The sequence below is a fragment of the Homo sapiens genome, chromosome 13, assembly GCF_000001405.40.
Source record: "Homo sapiens chromosome 13, GRCh38.p14 Primary Assembly".
In the NCBI taxonomy this organism is placed as follows: Eukaryota; Metazoa; Chordata; class Mammalia; order Primates; family Hominidae; genus Homo; species Homo sapiens.
Window position 1 is genome coordinate 44,185,013 of NC_000013.11, and position 16,585 is coordinate 44,201,597.

At 43.4% G+C, this 16,585-nt stretch overlaps 1 non-coding gene across 1 annotated transcript, besides 1 other annotated feature; it reads right to left on the bottom strand.

Annotated features, from left to right (window-relative positions):
• Window positions 2,798-3,997: an enhancer, noted in NCBI's record as "P300/CBP strongly-dependent group 1 enhancer chr13:44761946-44763145 (GRCh37/hg19 assembly coordinates)". NCBI's record gives its function as "activates an origin of replication core promoter dependent on BRD2, BRD4, P300/CBP, MED14 and CDK7 cofactors, with strong dependence on P300/CBP, by STARR-seq in HCT116 cells {active_cell/tissue: HCT116}" and the evidence as "EXISTENCE:reporter gene assay evidence [ECO:0000049][PMID:35650434]".
• On the bottom strand, window positions 11,117-11,188 carry MIR8079 (microRNA 8079). The gene has a single exon (NR_107046.1). It is a non-coding gene; the product is annotated as a microRNA 8079 (primary transcript).
• Between the last annotated feature and the right edge of the window lie 5,397 nt (window positions 11,189-16,585).

The window sequence follows — 16,585 nt, forward strand, 5'->3', positions numbered from 1 at the left end:
TACTGCATTTTTTCACTCATATATGGTGAAAAATATATGGAGGTAGTAAACAGAATGGTAGTGACCAGAGGCTGGAAAGGGGAGAGGAAAGGGGGATGAAGAGAGGTTGGTTAATAGGTACAATAACACAGTTAAATAAAAGGAGTAACTTCTAGTGTTTTATAGTACAGTAGGGCAACTACAGTTAACAATAACTTATCATAAATTTCAAAATACCTAGAAGATTGGGAATGTTCTGAATGCAAAGAAAAGATAAATATTCGAGGTGACGGATATCCCAATTACCCTGATTTGAGCATTACACATTGTATGATTGTATGAAAATATCCATGTACCCCACAAATATGTGCAACTATTATGTACCAATAAAAAGGGGGAAAACAGGTCTTAAACAATACAAAAGAAGCCAGATACAAAAGGCTTCATACTGTCTGAATCCATTTATATTTTGAAAAAGGCAAAATTACAGGGGTACAAATTAGCTCGGTGGTTGCCAGGGGCTGGGAGTAGAGGAAGGAAATTGACTGCAAAGGAGCATAAGGAAATTTGGGAATGATAAAAAATACCCTTTACCTTCATTGTGATGGTGGTTACATGATTGAATGTATTTGTAAAAATTCAACCAACTATACAATAAAAATTTTACTTATGTAAATTATATCTTAAACCTAACTTTAAGGAAAGTCAGGTTACTCCAGGCTCCCTTTCCAGGCAAATTCACTGCTGCATCCATTTTTTCTGATCTGCTTTTAAGAATACCTAGAAGGAAGAGTTTGAGAATTATTCATTTAATAGCTCTTTAAAAGAGGGGTCTTGGAGTATGATTCTGCATGAGTTAAACCCCAAGATCTTGAACAATTTAAACTTGAACAATAATTTTAGGTGTAGAAGGTATAGGGCACTTTCAAATTGTATAAAATACCAACATGCCTACCCACAATATTTTATAGATACATAATCATTTATTCTAGCACTGTGTAGCTTCTTTACTTGTGAAATATTCACTTGTGACTACATACCAGCAAGGGATGTGCATTAGTTTCCTAGGGCTTCTGTGACAAGGTACCATAGACTAGATGGCTTAAACAACAGAAATTTATTTTCTCACAATTCAGGAGGCTGGAAGTCCAAGATCAAGGTGTCAGCAGGGTTAGTCTCTTTTGAGATCTCTTTCCTAGACTTATAGATGGCCACCTTTTTGCTGTGTCTTCACATGGTCTTCCCTCTGTGTTCTAATCACCTTTTCTTATAAGGACACCGTTCATACTGGATTACAGTCCACCTTAATGAGTTCATTTTAACTTAATTACCTCTTTAAAGGCCCTATCTCCAAATGCAGTCACATTCTGAGATATCGGGGGTTAGGACTTCAATATATGAAATTTGAGGAGGCACAATTCAGCGTGCTTCCCACCCCTTCCCTCTTCCACCATGGACATTTTTCCTATTCCAGCCACCCTCCAACCACGCTGCCTCTCCCAAGATGTAACTTTCTTCTTCTTGGTTTGCTTTGGTTACTTCCACATGTTGATCAAACATCTGTAAAAGGAAATCAAAGCACTAAGACACTGTAAAGATGCCAAGACACTGTATGCAGGCCCAGGTGGAAAAAAATGTGTCGTTTAATATTTGTATGTATTTGTTTGCTTTGGTGTATTTCTACAGATCCTTTTCTTGAAAGGCTATATATAGCAGCTTTGAATATCCAAACTATATTGGGAACATATCAAATATGTGGAACAGAAGCTTAAGTGCTGCCCATACCACACAGCCTTGTACTCACTGCTCCTACACATATAAATGAGTGAAGAATGGTTGAATAGAAAATCTGCAGCAAGGCAACAATAGTCCAGTTTTTAACCCCAGCTTCTCTGTAGCTAACATGAATAATCCATGGTAAGCTGGATCCTTACAGTAATTTATCGATGAGTAGTATAATCATTTATTTCAAGCTGAACACATTTCTCTGGCTCTGCTTCATCCACCACAAGATACTTCCAGGCAGCTCTGGGAGAATTGGAAGCATGTTTTTCTTCCAGTATTTGCCTGGTCTCATAGAGCAGCAAATAGTAATATAAAGAGCTCAATCTGTATGCACAAAAGCAGTTGATGTAGACTACTTTTAGGTTCAAGTTTTGAGCAAACAGTATACAGAAAACCCTTTGCAATTAATACTAAGACTAGGAAGTGATGAGCCCATCAAGGTTGGGTGTGAGGCATGGATGAGGATCAGTGAAGGACACAAAGTCAGGATGATAACAAGCAAACGGGAGCTAGACAAGAAGGAAGGCAGAAACATTTCAGGTTACACCATAACATCATCAAGAAGGGACTGGACGAATAATTGCAGCACTGGCTACTTTCTGTTGAGTGTTTCTTACTCTGTAAGGCCTGCACTAGGTGCTCTACATATCATGGGCTTAAGCTGAGCACAGCACTGCCATTTGACTTGTAGGATCCCTCGTTTGCAGATAAGGATAGTGACGCTCTATAAGATGCACTACGTGGTGGAGTTAGAACCCAACCACCAAGTTTTCCATGATGCCCAAGCCCATTCTCTTTTGATATCCGTTATAATGGTCCCACACTGTGGCTATAGCATTATGTTGTTTATGTGTTATTCATAGTTCATCATATTGAGTAAACAGGATGGACTTTTAGCAAACTGGGCAGAGTTTGTCTCTAAGTGTGGTTTCAATTCATCTCAAGTTTGTTTGTTTTTAATTGCCTATATAAAGTTCAAAGAAACCCTATCATGCACATTCTGCTAAGAAGAAGATGCTTCAAGCAGAGAAATGCAGTTGATTTTTTCATTCAGGGTTCTAATGTCCAGAGTGGGCTAACCTTATTAAGGAGTGTAGGCCCTTTATTGAAAGGGGTGGGAGAGGTTCTATTTTGCAGCAGTTGGGAAGGCATGGTCTCTCCACAGGTGAGGTGGTTGTCTAACGGGAGATAGAACAGGCTGGGTTTCTGAATAAGTACATGAATACATTTGATTTCAGTATTCCCTGAGTGATTGAGGGGGTTGCTATAATGCTTGGTGCAAATAGGAAAGGTCAGTAGGGACAAGTGGGAAGAGTCCAAAAGAAGAAACCTAATGAAGGAAAGTGAATGGAAGAGAAGAAGGAGCACCAGGGGATGGCCACGGTGGCCATTGTAGGTGCCTTTGACCCAGACACTCAACAGAGCACCTAAGCCTAGATGGGTAGAGCCAAGATTGTTTTTGATGCCTGGGTTGGATCCAAAACTTCCATCCAGGTCTGCCTTTACCTGGGTGTCTTGGCTTTTGCATTCCCACAGCTGTGACTCAGACCTGTGTTTTCTGGGATGGGAAAGGAATACAGCAAATTATGAGATAAGAAGTGAAAAAAGAATAACTGGCAACCATTATTCCTGCACCCTGGGAAAGAGGGTCCTGCCTGCCTGGCCCTGCCTCTCTTGCTGACTCATGCTGTAGTCGTGACAGTGCCTTTGACTCATCCAGCCTAAGAACCCAAGAATCAACTCTGACACTTCATTCCCATGCATGGCATACCTGGTCATCAACACGGAGGAATTTTAACCCAAACTATATTTTGAGCCTGTTCCTTGCTCCATCCCACTACCAATGTGTTGAGTCAGGCCTTCCTCCTTTCTTATTTGGAGCAGTAAGAGCCTCCCAACTTGTCCTCCTGCTTCCAGTCTACCCAGACAGTCCATCCTCTGACCTTCCACCTGAGTGATCTTTCTGGAAAACAAACCAATCCTGTCACTCCTCTGCTTCTTAATGCCAGAGTAGGATTCTCAACTGAAGACTCCCCTGAACTCCAAGAATCCAGGGGCAAAATTGTACATTTATGCCATGTAGCAGAGGTAGTTAGTGATTAACAAATATTCCTTGTGTATCCCCATATATTCCAGCCTCCCTTGCAGTCAGGTTGGAGCATGGGACTAATTTGATCAACTCAATGTGGTAACATGCTGTATTTCATGGTTATCTGTGGCTCTGATTGGAAGTCATGAAGGTTGGATGGCTTTTTTGAATGGGGAAACAAAATAGTTACTTCTTACTAATTCCAATATTTGGGGGGATTAAAAACAAATTTATGAAGACACGTGAGCCATAGGAAAAAAATATTTAAAGAGAGTCCTTAAGAATGAATATTGTGGACCTCTGGCCTACAGAAAAAAGTCCAAACATGACACTCACATCAAAACAGATGAGACACAAAAGCCATTCTGGTTTTGTTGACAATAAAGTCTTGTTGCCCTGTGCTTTGCCAATCTGGACTTTGACTAATTATTTCCCAGTTATGCTTTACACTTCCATGTGGGCCTGCCCTTGCAACCTCCAGTCCCTCATCTCCAGCCTGTCCAGTTCTCCCCTTATCCTGCAAGACCCAACTAAAATGTTGAACTCAACCTTCTCTGCTGAATTCCCATTGCCCTCAGCCATAATTTTAGTCACAATGCTTCTTTCATCATATTGGCATCCCTGACTGTTCGTTAAAATGTGAACTTCTCCCACACATGTAGTGTCTCCTTCCCATCTCTGTGCCCCCAATGCCTAGGATAGTGCCTGGCACAGAGGGGGCATTCACCAACTACAGTCTCCTTGGAGGTACTCTTCTAGGCTCCTCAGATGGGTGGGTTGCATGTGGCGATGAGTAAACTATTTATCTAAGTGCCCCCTTGCTGTTCCTCAAGCGTGCCAAGCCTGCTTTCCCCCACAGCCCTCACGTTTGCACCTATCTCGGCCCAGAACTCTCTCCAGACCTCACATAGCTCTCTCCCCCACATCAGTCAGAGCGGCTTTCTCTGGTCCTTCTCCCTTTATCTCCTTATTCTGCCTTGTGTCTTCACGGCACATCTGGTACATTTTATTTTGCATTTACTATTAAGTCTGTTCATTGTCTCCCCCAAGTAGACTGTAGGCTCTGTGAGGTCAAGGGCTTTGTCTTGTTCATTGCACATTAGTGGGCACTCAAAAATATTTTTGAATGAAGAAATAATAAAGTTATCATATTTTAACACATCAAATCTGAAACCAAGCCTCATTTTTCAAGCGTTCTTTTCATAAAGCCGTAAAGCTTTAGATTAAGAAAGGAATTTGGAGGGTTTACTTGAGCTCTGTATTCTCATTTAACTGAAGTGGAAGCAGAGATCTCTGACAGCAAAATAACTTGCCCCATGCAGGGCTGAAGCTAGAACCCTTGTCTGACTCCTGGGTCTTGACTCCTAGCACAGTGTTTTGCATGTGGTAAGCATTCAGTTAATCAATGAGTGTTAAGTTGAATTAAAACTAGAAAAGGCTGAGCAGTTTGATGCCTGTGTGTGCAGCTTTCTGCCCTGTTTATAAACTGAGCTCAAAAGACATGGGCCTCTAGGGAGTTACTTGAGAAAACAAAAGTATAGCAGATGGGGATCCAGGTTCTTACCCTGACACATGGACTCCGTTGGGCAGACCTAGACCAGTTAACCACACAACTACCTGACCCTCCACACTGCATGTCCCCGAGATCTGTAGACATAGCTGGCACTGTTTCCTGGTCACCAGTGGATGTTAAGGGTCAAAAGAGAAAAGGATCTCTCTTTTAGCCAGGAGCACTGACTAGGTGACTGCTAGGGAAAAGCAAGAAATGCAGCGTCAGCCCACCATGGTAGGTAGTGGTTGAGGAGCCTGAGAACTAAAGCTCCTTCCGTTCTCAACCTCACACTCTGGGCCAGTTACTGAAATTGTCTAGACCTTCACTTGAAAAATAAATCCTATAGTTAGGAATAACCAGGGTTTCATTACAAAGTTCTTGGCACATACTCCAGGACTAAATTATATATGGTAGTGGTGCAAATTGCCAATCAAACAGTGCCTTCCACAATGAGGGGCAAACATAATGAAACCTTAGTTTGGTAGATCATAACAAAATTGCTCATTATTTCTTCGTCTCTCCTTTAGATGGAAAAGTGTCACCTTTTCTATATGTTCTTTGCCCATTTCAGCTTCTGCCCTCAGACTCTCAGGAATATGGAGAACTGTTTCTCTAAACACTCACGATTAAACAAATTAGGAGATTTCCTAATTGTTTAAGGATGTACGGTTGTTCAACAAGGACCCATGTTCCACCACTCTCCTCTTCTGCAGTATGGCAGACAACCATCAATAACCACAGGGTCCCAACCCAAGCCTTGGAGCTCACCTCATAATTCCTCATGGTCCAGAGAGCCTTCACAATCAACTGGAGCTGTTAGATGTAATGAAATTATTTGCCATCCTCAGTTTCAGTTGTATAAAGCCAGGACCAGAATGTACAAACTGTCCTCAAGCTTTTCTCTAACTCTAGGTCATGCATTTCTAAATCAAAGGCAGTTGCCTGTCTTGCAGGATTTGTTTTCTTTCCTTTTTGTTTTTCTATTTTCCTCTAAGCATACAAGGAAGAACAGAGATTTCAACCATTATTTCTCAGTGAACTAAACATCAAACTATAAGTTTTCAAGTCAGCCATGACCTGGCATCTCTCCGTCTTTTGAAAACGAAGCCAAACAATCTATGGTGCGGTCTCCTTAAGCTGTGTCCGAAATATGCAGGGTTGTGCAATATGCAATGTTTTGGTCAGTCACTAGGTGGCATCTAATTGAGGCACCGGGTGAACTCTCCCAGAAGGAGCGTGTTTTAGAGCACACCACAGTTCTCCATTTTGGCTGCCATTGTTTGGTGGGCGTGTTGGAGTTAATCCATTGCCATCTGTCTTTATTTTGCTAACTTACTCAGTCGGACGCCACACAATTGAGTTCTGCAAATGTCGGCTCTCCAGTACAGCAATTACCGAGTCTCTCTCTAAACAATATCACCGCACGGCATTCTTCCTGCCTTGCCTAGAGCTTGAAACATTCAGGCTCATTTTGACTTTCTTTGCTTATAGCGCTTGTCATCTTCAAAGATGAAAGAAAAATGGTCTGAACTCAAAGCCACAACAAGGCATGGCTTCTCTTTCCAAACTGAGTACATACCAATCAACATGTTCCTATTACATAAAAACCCCAGGCAACACAGCCAAGGATGTGGGCTTGTGCTTGTGCAGTCCAGGAAGACACCACCGCCTCCTCCAGGATGCAGACAGAGTGCATTTTGTTGTTGATGATGATGTTGTTCTTTTAATATTTGAGGGACTGGTGGGAGAGGTGGCAAGTGAGGCACATGGAAGTAATAGGAGAAGGAAGTTAGGAAGGAAGGAAGGAGAAAGAGAAAGAAAGAAAGAGAAAGAAAGAAAGAAAGAGAGAGAGAGAGAGAGAGAGAGAAAGAAAGAAAGAAAGAAAGAAAGAAAGAAAGAAAGAAAGAAAGAAAGAAAGAAAGAAAGAAAGAAAGGATATAGAGGAGGAGTGGGGAGTGAGCTGATATTTGAAGGACCTAACTTCCATTGCTGTTCCAGAAGAGGGATGAATTAATAATCTCAGTAACCTAGAAATGGTGTTTATTTTCCATTGTTTGCTCATTTCATTCATTCACGCATTGTGTATTGAAGACCTACTCTGTGTGTCAGGCAGTGTATGAGATGTTCCAGATACAAGTGGGATCGATTCATCAAGATTCATTGTCTTCTTTGAGCTTACATTTTGTGGGGAGACAGACATTGATCAAGTAAACACAAGCATGATAGCTGTTGTGAAATAGACACAAAAACACACAGGGTGTTGCACAAGCACACAATGGGTGCCCTCACCTAGTCTGGGGGCCAGGAAAGGATCTCTGAGATAGGTGAAGATGAAGGGGGTTTTTAGAGTATCATTCTTCTTTGTTGAACTCTCACGTGCCAAATACTCTGCTTTGCAATTAGCAGATGCTAGATTCATATTTGGTGACCAACTAGCAAGTGAGGAAGATCTAGCAGGATGAGAACCAGTGAAAATACAGCCCAGTCCCTGATGGGACTAATTCCTCCTTAATCCTTTGCTTTTGCCTTTTTTTCCTGCCAAAATTATATAAAGATTTGCATCCATCTTTTATCTTTATTTAAGTCCATTTTGTTCAAAGTTTTCAATGCCTGGTAAACCAAAAGTGAATTAAACATTAACATATTAGTTTACATTGCTATCTACTGTAGTTCTTCAGAATCGATTCACTGTTTAAATTTTAGAAAATAGGAGGCAATTTGGGGAGCAAAGAAGAGGAAGCCAGAAAAAAAGGGAACATACTGTGTTTGTCTTCTCCGCTGTATTACCATATTTTCAAATGTAATTTCTGTCTTCAGGGTTTCCACTATGAAGCAGAGGGAGTCCATATCCTATGTATTGACATAAGATTCGAGCAAAGGCAAACCCACGAATATGCAGTTTTTGGGAACTGTAAACTCCCTGAGTTTCATTACAGGTGCTGGAATAGGTGGATATTGAAAGGATTTAATGTGGTCTCACTACTTACCAGTGCATTTGTGAATGACCCATTCTTGTAGGACTTTATCTTGTCAACCAAGTCTATTTGTCATTAAATATTTGTGGTCTGAGTCCTTTAAAGTCATCTCCTGGGAGAACTGCATTGCCAGGTAGTTTGAAGACCAACGCCAGCTACATAGTAACATAAGGAGCCTTTGCCTTGCTTTATTTTGGTCTTAACTCATTGCTCCCCTAAGCTGAATAGGGAATGTCAGGCAGCTGTCCTTCATGCCACTGAGATTCTCCTGCCTGAGGCCCCAACCTTCCAGAAGGTTCAGGTGGCTGGGGCCTTCCAGGGGGAGTGGCTGGGTCTGTGAGGTGGCCCATGGATAGAGCTGGGGTACCCTCTTCCTCCCACCTCTCTGGGATCTGCCTGCACTGTGGACCTGGTCATGTCCTGGGGTGGGGGTGCAGAGGGCAAGTGGGGATACCAGGGGAAGAAGAAATGTCACTTGAGCTGTGGCAGACACTGGAGGGCCAGGCCCTGCACAACAACCACTGTTACCATGGAAACTCCCAAGGAGACCGCCGAAGGCCACTAGAAGCAGCCTTGGTAACATTCTTCCATTTCTGACCTCTCATTACATTTGACATAATTGACCAATCTCATTCTGGAGACTTCTCCTTCCTCGGTTTATGTGACATGAACCCTCTTGGTTCTGCTCCTCTCACCCTGAGTGACCTCTGTCAGCCTCTTTTGCAGACACTTACTTCACTCTCTCTTCATTCACTCATTAATCACGGTTACAAAAATCTGGTCTTAGGATCCCTGCTTTCTTTTTTTTTTTTCTTTTTTCTTTTATTTTGTTATTATTATACTTTAAGTTTTAGGGTACATGTGCACAACGTGCAGGTTTGTTACATATGTATACATGTGCCATGTTGGTGTGCTGCACCCATTAACTCATCATTTAGCATTAGGTATATCTCCTAATGCTATCCCTCCCCCCTACCCCCACCCCACAACCATCCCTGGTGTGTGATGTTCCCCTTCCTGTGTCCATGTGTTCTCATTGTTCAATTCCCACCTATGACTGAGAACATGCGGTGTTTGGTTTTTTGCCCTTGTGATAGTTTGCTGAGAATGATGGTTTCCAGCTTCATCCATGTCCCTACAAAGGACATGAACTCATCATTTTTTATGGCTGCATAGTATACCATGGTGTATATCTGCCACATTTTCTTAATCCAGTCTATTGTTGTTGGACATTTGGGTTGGTTCCAAGTCTTTGCTATTGTGAATAGTGCCGCAATAAATATATGTGTGCATGTGTCCTTATAGCAGCATAATTTATAATCCTTTGGGTATATACCCAGTAATGGGATGGCTGGGTCAAATGGTATTTCTAGTTCTACATCCCTGAGGAATCGCCACACCGACTTCCACAATGGTTGAACTAGCTTACAGTCCCACCAACAGTGTAAAAGTGTTCCTATTTTTCCACATCCTCTCCAGCACCCGTTGTTTCCTGACTTTTTAATGATCGCCATTCTAACTGGTGTGAGATGGTATCTCACTGCGATTTTGATTTGCATTTCTCTGATGGCCAGTGATGATGAACATTTTTTCATGTGCTTTTTGGCTGCATGAATATCTTCTTTTGAGAAGTGTCTGTTCATATAGGCATGGGCAAGGACTTCATGTCTAAAACACCAAAAGCAATGGCAACAAAAGCCAAAATTGACAAATGGGATCTGATTAAACTAAAGAGCTTCTGCACAGCAAAAGAAACTACCATCAGAGTGAACAGGCAACCTACAGAATGGGAGAAAATTTTTGCAACCTACTCATCTGACAAAGGGCTAATATCCAGAATCTACAATGAACTCAAACAAATTTACAAGAAAAAAACAAACAACCCCACCATCAAAAAGTGGGCGAAGGATATGAACAGGATCCCTGCTTTCTTTCTCCTCTTTTTTGAGATGTTTCTTCATTTTCTGGGTTTGAGCTATAAGCTTTCTAAAGATGACATAGGTGGAGTTCAGCAAAGAGAGGGAGGAAATGAGTGTTCACTGGTTGGTTGCTGCTTCCTCTGTACCTGTGGCCCGGCCGCCTGCATGTGGTGCCTCTTCTCATCCCCAAGAAAACCCTGCAAGAGTGGTGGGCCCTTAGCCTTTGCTGTTTTGTACATGATGTCCCTTTTGTCTGTGATGTTCCTTTTGTCCATGATGTTCCTTTTATCTGAAATTCTTTTTGATTTCTCCCTCCACTCACCTTCCAAATTTCTACTCCTTTTCAAAGCCCAGTTCAATTACTATTTCTTTTGTGGCATCTGCCTGAATTCCCCAAGCCCCATTAATCCCTTTGTCTGAATTTCATGGCACGAATGTCATCCTTCTATTAGATTATTTACCACATTACAGTACACAGTGTAGTTTGCTAATTTCCCTCCCTGTCCCCTAAGGTTGTCTTTGGGGTGCTAGAGGACAAGATGAGGTCTTATCTCTCTCGGCATCCTGACATCTATCACAGTGCCTAACCCATAGCAGGTGTTTCACAAACATTCCTTTATCGTGTAATAGCTAGCGTTTGTTAGCTCAGCGCATTATCTCAGGCAGTCCTCCATATAACCCTATGGAGTTGGTCATTATCTGATGAGGAGAGTGAGCTTTGAAGAAGTTAAATAAATTGCCCAGGACCACACAGGCAGAATCAGGACGTTAACCAGCACAGACTGAATCTCGAGTCCACACTGTGCTGCATGGCCACCCTCTGGAGGCCTGTGATGTCCCCTCTGACTGCTGCCCTACAGCCAGCAGAGACGATCACTGAACCCAGGCACTTGCACAGCCCAATGCTGAAGAAGGCAGGTGTGGATGCATGAATGAAAGGTGAAGGAGCAAGTGAGTAAACCCACTCTCTGAGTCTTTCATACAATCCAGCTTTCATTCCTGCTCATTCACCCTACCCTCTGCTCCTCCCTTTTAGTCCCCTAAGTACCCCTCCAGCCCTGACCTCCCTTGTCTCACACTGACTTCCTGCAGCACCTCATTGGTGGGTTCCTCAACCCACAGCCTCTTTTTTCCTGTCTCCCTCCCTGTGCCCCACAACACATACAACACCTAAAAATTAATTCTCAAGCCCTGTTGTCAGATCCACACTCCAGGATTGATTTTGGCTTCTGACTCATTGTTGAGTAAAATCTCAGCACTCAAGGCTAACTGTCATTTCCCTACATGTATCTATCACTCTAAACCAAGCAGCGTTGTTGACTGCCCCTGGCCTGTGATTTGCCTGTGTTGCCTCCAGATCTTTTCCTGAGCTATTCTTCTGTGTTTTGAACACCTGTCCCATATCAGGAAATGAGCTGGGTTCTGGGAATACAGAGATTAAAACTTCAGTCTCTGATGCTCCTAGATTAGTGCAAGACAGCTGAAAGAGCAATAACAAAGTCCCATCACTATGGCAGGTGATTCAGAGGAAAGCCCAGGTTGCTATGGAAGCACCTAGGTCATCTACCTTCCCCATCTCCAATAACATCAGCCCTCAGAGCCTTCTCCGTCTGACCCGACTTACCTCTCCTGGGGGGCTTTCTGTGCCTGACGCTTCATCTGCTCCTCTCATTTATGCCAAATTTTCAGAATATATCTGTATTTGTTGATTTATTCATCTGCAACAATATATTTGCTGAACGTGCCTCCTCAACTGGTGAACTGTAATGGGGGAGGAGAAGACAAAAGAAGGCCAACTGGAAGAAATGAAAATGGTGTGTCTCCTTAAGGAGGTTGGATCCCAGAGAAGGAAGATAATGGGAGAGAGAGAGGTGTGGCTTTTGTTGGGCTTCCTCCTAACTATCCATTTTGGTGATGGCTGAGTGTGTCCTGAAGAGAAAGGATTACATGTAACTCAAACCTGATCCACAAAACTTCTGTAGTCCAAGCAACTTCGTGTGAGACCCTTTAAAAGAGCAGACCACAAAGTTAGGATGCAGTGGCTATACAGCCGAGCTGACCACTGAGCACAGGAGACAGAGCCTTGGAACTCTCAGAGATACTGGGGCGGGGAGGGGCTCGTATTGTGAAGGGAGGACCAAAGTCCCACAGGGGCATGCAGCTGGGCAAGCAAAATCTGGTCTGCAGTCGTCCGTCTCACTTGGGTCTAAGGCTAATGAGGCCTGGGGAACACTCACAAGGAGTCTAGTTATGGCTCTGTAGTAGTTTACCCATTGACTGAAGCAAAACAGTCTCCACAAGAGATCCCAGGAGAAACAGAACAGCTGGCCAGGCTCACCTAGCTGGTCCCATAACTTTTCCCACCATCCTGCCAGGCAAACCTTGTCATCTCAGCACCTGGATCCAAGACACTTTGCTGCCATGTTTCCTCACATCTCATCCTCTCTCCCTTCCTAGTCAGAATTCCACATTTGTCACTTTCTGACCTGCATTTGACAACACTCAATGTTGTCTTATCCAAACAACATCTATGATTCAGCCTTCTTGCCCTCAAGTCCAGCATGTTCCCCTCTGGCTCCAAGCCCCTTTCCCTCCAGCCTTTTACAACCACATCACTCCATGTAAGTCACTTGTCCTTTGAACCAGCTGATCTGTGGGCTGAGGAAAGGGTGCTGGGAGCTGAGCTGTAGATGTTCTCTTTGCTGTCTGTCATTCTAGGGGCTTGCCAACATTGGGCAGAGTCTCCTGCTGGCTGAAACTCTCTCACCACAAAGGATTTCATTTTATGTCAGCAGTTTCATAGGCTGAGGGAGTGATAGAGATAAGAGAAACATGAAGAGAATATGCCACAATGACTAAACTCAAGATAGATTTGGGGCAGAGATGTAGAGATTTGGTAAAAGTCCAGAAATCTAAATGCTGGGTGTGCTTACTAAGTGTACCTGTGCATTAAGCTAAGCAAATGGATTCCCTGTCTCCTTGACAACCAGAATACAAACATGTCTTACCTGAATTATCCATTCTCTTTGCCAAAGCCAGTGCATAATTAGTTGGGGAAAAATATACATGCAAGATGAAAGAGTCCACAGCTCTTAAACAATATCCCTCATTGCTCTCTGGTGGAGAGTTCACCTACTCAACCTCACTAACATCTCCCTTGCCTCATTTATCAGCCATGCCTTTCACTTACTGGTGAAAAGCTAATATAGCCTTGCTTCTCCCTCTCAGTCAACACTATTTAAGGGACTGATAAGAAAATTCACTAGGAAGGTTTTTCTGGAAAGCTCTCTATTTATAGAGACACACTGAAGTAGCCATAGACACCAACTGTTAAATTGCCTCCTCTGTGTGTGAAGGCCATGTTGTCACCATCTTAGACAAGGAGGAGATACCTTTCCTCCTCCTCATGGAGACCATGCTTCTATTTGCTCTCTCGGCATGCAACACCAGCCATCTCAGGGATTTGCCTAACAAGCTGGACTATTTCCAGGATATGGGAGGCAGCAGCCTCTAAATGCTTAGGGGTTTTAGGGGCACGGTCTCCTAAGACAAGCAGCAACCAGAGTAAAGAAGTCAGCCCTGAGAAGATAGAATCTCAGCCCTCAAGTCTGGAATGTTCCTTCCCCTATACCTATCCTCACCATCACAGCCCAGGGCTAATGGGTGGACTGTCAGCATGGGAGGACCATGCCCTGACACCCTCCTGGTGGGACACAAAGGGCCTGAAGGCTGCATTTAGAGCGAGTCATCACACTGAGCACACACACACACACCCCAGCCTTGTACCGCAGGGCAGAACCTCCCCAGGGGTGGAGGAGGAAAGGATGGGAGCCAAGTGGGTGACAGGAAGAGAATAAACATCAGGGTAGGGGCCCTGGGTCTTCAAAACAGTGTGAAGCAACAGGATGAATGAATTAAAGTGGATTGCGCTCCAAGGCCCCACACCTTGGTCGCTATGTCAGGTCTTTTCAGGATAAGTCTGAACACTGTGTGAAGAAGAGAAGGGGTGTGAACGTGTGTACGTGCAATAGGGTATGTACACCACTCCATGTGGATCCTGTGTGCATGTGCTGGTGCTTCTGGACGTGTACAAACCCATATGATGCTGCAAACTATACAAGCACACCACATGTTAGCCTAACCACAGAAGCATTGCCAAACCCAGTTCTAATGTGAAAAGCCTCTTCCAAGAGTTGACAGAAACCAAATTCAGGTTCACATTCTGGGCATCACTTAGCATAGCTGGGGAAGGAGGAGAGTTAAGTAATGAGATGCAATGGAGCAAAGAAGAATGTCTACCCATTGTCATCACCAACATCCTGGTGGGGAGGTCACTTGGTGAGGAAAAAATAGGACCCATTATGAATGAGTTGGGATTGGATTCCTGGTGGCCTTCCCAGAAAGCATTCTGCTGTCTTGTGAGAAGCAGGAACCAGAGACAGAGAGGCTGGCTGTGCAGATTCCTTCCAACCCTGCCAGCGGTGGCTTAGTGTGAGGTGCAGGTGGATTTCTTGACAGGGATACATATCTTGGAAGTGGTAACAGATTTATGGCAACTAATTGCACAATAATAGCTGGCCCGAACAGAGCTCTTGAGCAATTGCCAGAACTCTATATTACTACTATTCATTTACATAACAAACATTTTACACCTACTTATTGAGAATAACTAACCTTTATTGAAGGTCACATGCTGTTCTGAGCTCTACATATCTATTAATATCCACAATGACTCTATGAAGTGGGTACTGTTGTTACCACTCACATTCTACAGAGGAGGAAACTGAGGCATAGTGAGCTTAAGTAAGTTCCCCAAAGTCTCTCACTGTATGCAAAAGCCAGGGTTAGAACATAGGAAATTTTATTCCAAATCCCACACTTTTAGTCAGTAAACATATCTGCTTCCTATATTTACTTTTGTACAAAGCTAGTACAAATACTAGGCATTTGAAAGAAGCTAAAATATCATGATCCCTACCTTTAAAGGAGTTTATAGTCTTGGGGGAGAAACAGACAGTGCTGCTTTCTGACTTAAGCAAATTCAGCCTTTCAGAAAATTTCAGGTTCTTTTTACAACTACTATTAACCTCTTGAGGTTAGAGACTTCTGGGGAACTATAAATCCCTTCCCTATGACCTCAAAAATGTCTAATTGAACTCCATATGACATATAGATGCATATTGGCAAGGAAGCACAAATACACTCATTCAACTTGTTCGGCAGTTTGGGGAAGACCCACTCTGGCCTAGCCACTCCAGCAAGCACCATGCATTGAAGACTCCAGCTGGGGCAGATGTCGTGATAGTTCTAGGACAGCACTGGACAGTTCTGGGTGGGATCAGGCAAGAGGGTCCTCTGTGAAGGAAGGGACAGAGGGTCATGGGCTGACTGTGGTTCTAGGTTTACCACCTTATTGTGCCTTGTTCATAAAGGAGAGCAAAGCAATATTTCTAACTACTCCCAGTCTTGACAATATTCATATTACCAAAGAAGTGATTTCACTGAAGATGTGGGGAATGCTAAATAACGCCCCTGCAGATTCTGGTTCATGATCAGGCTCCTCATGGGCTGGCTCACCACCCTGGAGTGTTGCTTCTGATTTGGTGCTTAGGCCTCCTGTTTTACAGGTCCCACCTGATTACCTCCATGTGTCCAAAATCAGCACCATTGAGTCATTTTGTTCTCGTATGCCTTCCCCAAATGGTACTTTGTTGTTCCAAATTAAAATAATTGGCTGGGCGCAGTGGCTCACACCTATAATCCCAGCAATTTGGGAGGCCAAAGTGAGAGGATCACTTGAGCCCAGGAGTTCGAGATCAGCCTGGCTAATACAGTGAGAACTCGTCTCTACAAAAAATTTAAAAATCAGCTGGGCGTGGTGGTGTGCACCTGCAGTCCCAGCTACCCTGAAGTCTGAAGCAGGAGGATCGCTTGAGCCCAGAAGGCCAAAGTTGCAGGGAGCCATGAACACACCACTGCACTCCAACCTGGGCAACAGAGCAAGACCCTGTCTCAAATAAAACTGAAAAATATAAAATAGAATAACAGAGAACATCCCATAATATAAGAAACATTGTAAGGACCTGAGTGTAAGGCAAAGCTGTCTATATCAAAGGATACTTTGGGGGAAAATATGCCTTATATTTGTTTGCTTACTGTCATAGAAGAGCACCTAGTTTGTGCCTGACACAAAGCAGGTACTCAATAAATGTGAGTTTTCTTCTCTCCCTCACTATCTCACTTGGTTTTCATGGAAGACACTATGAGGAAGCTGTTATATTTATTT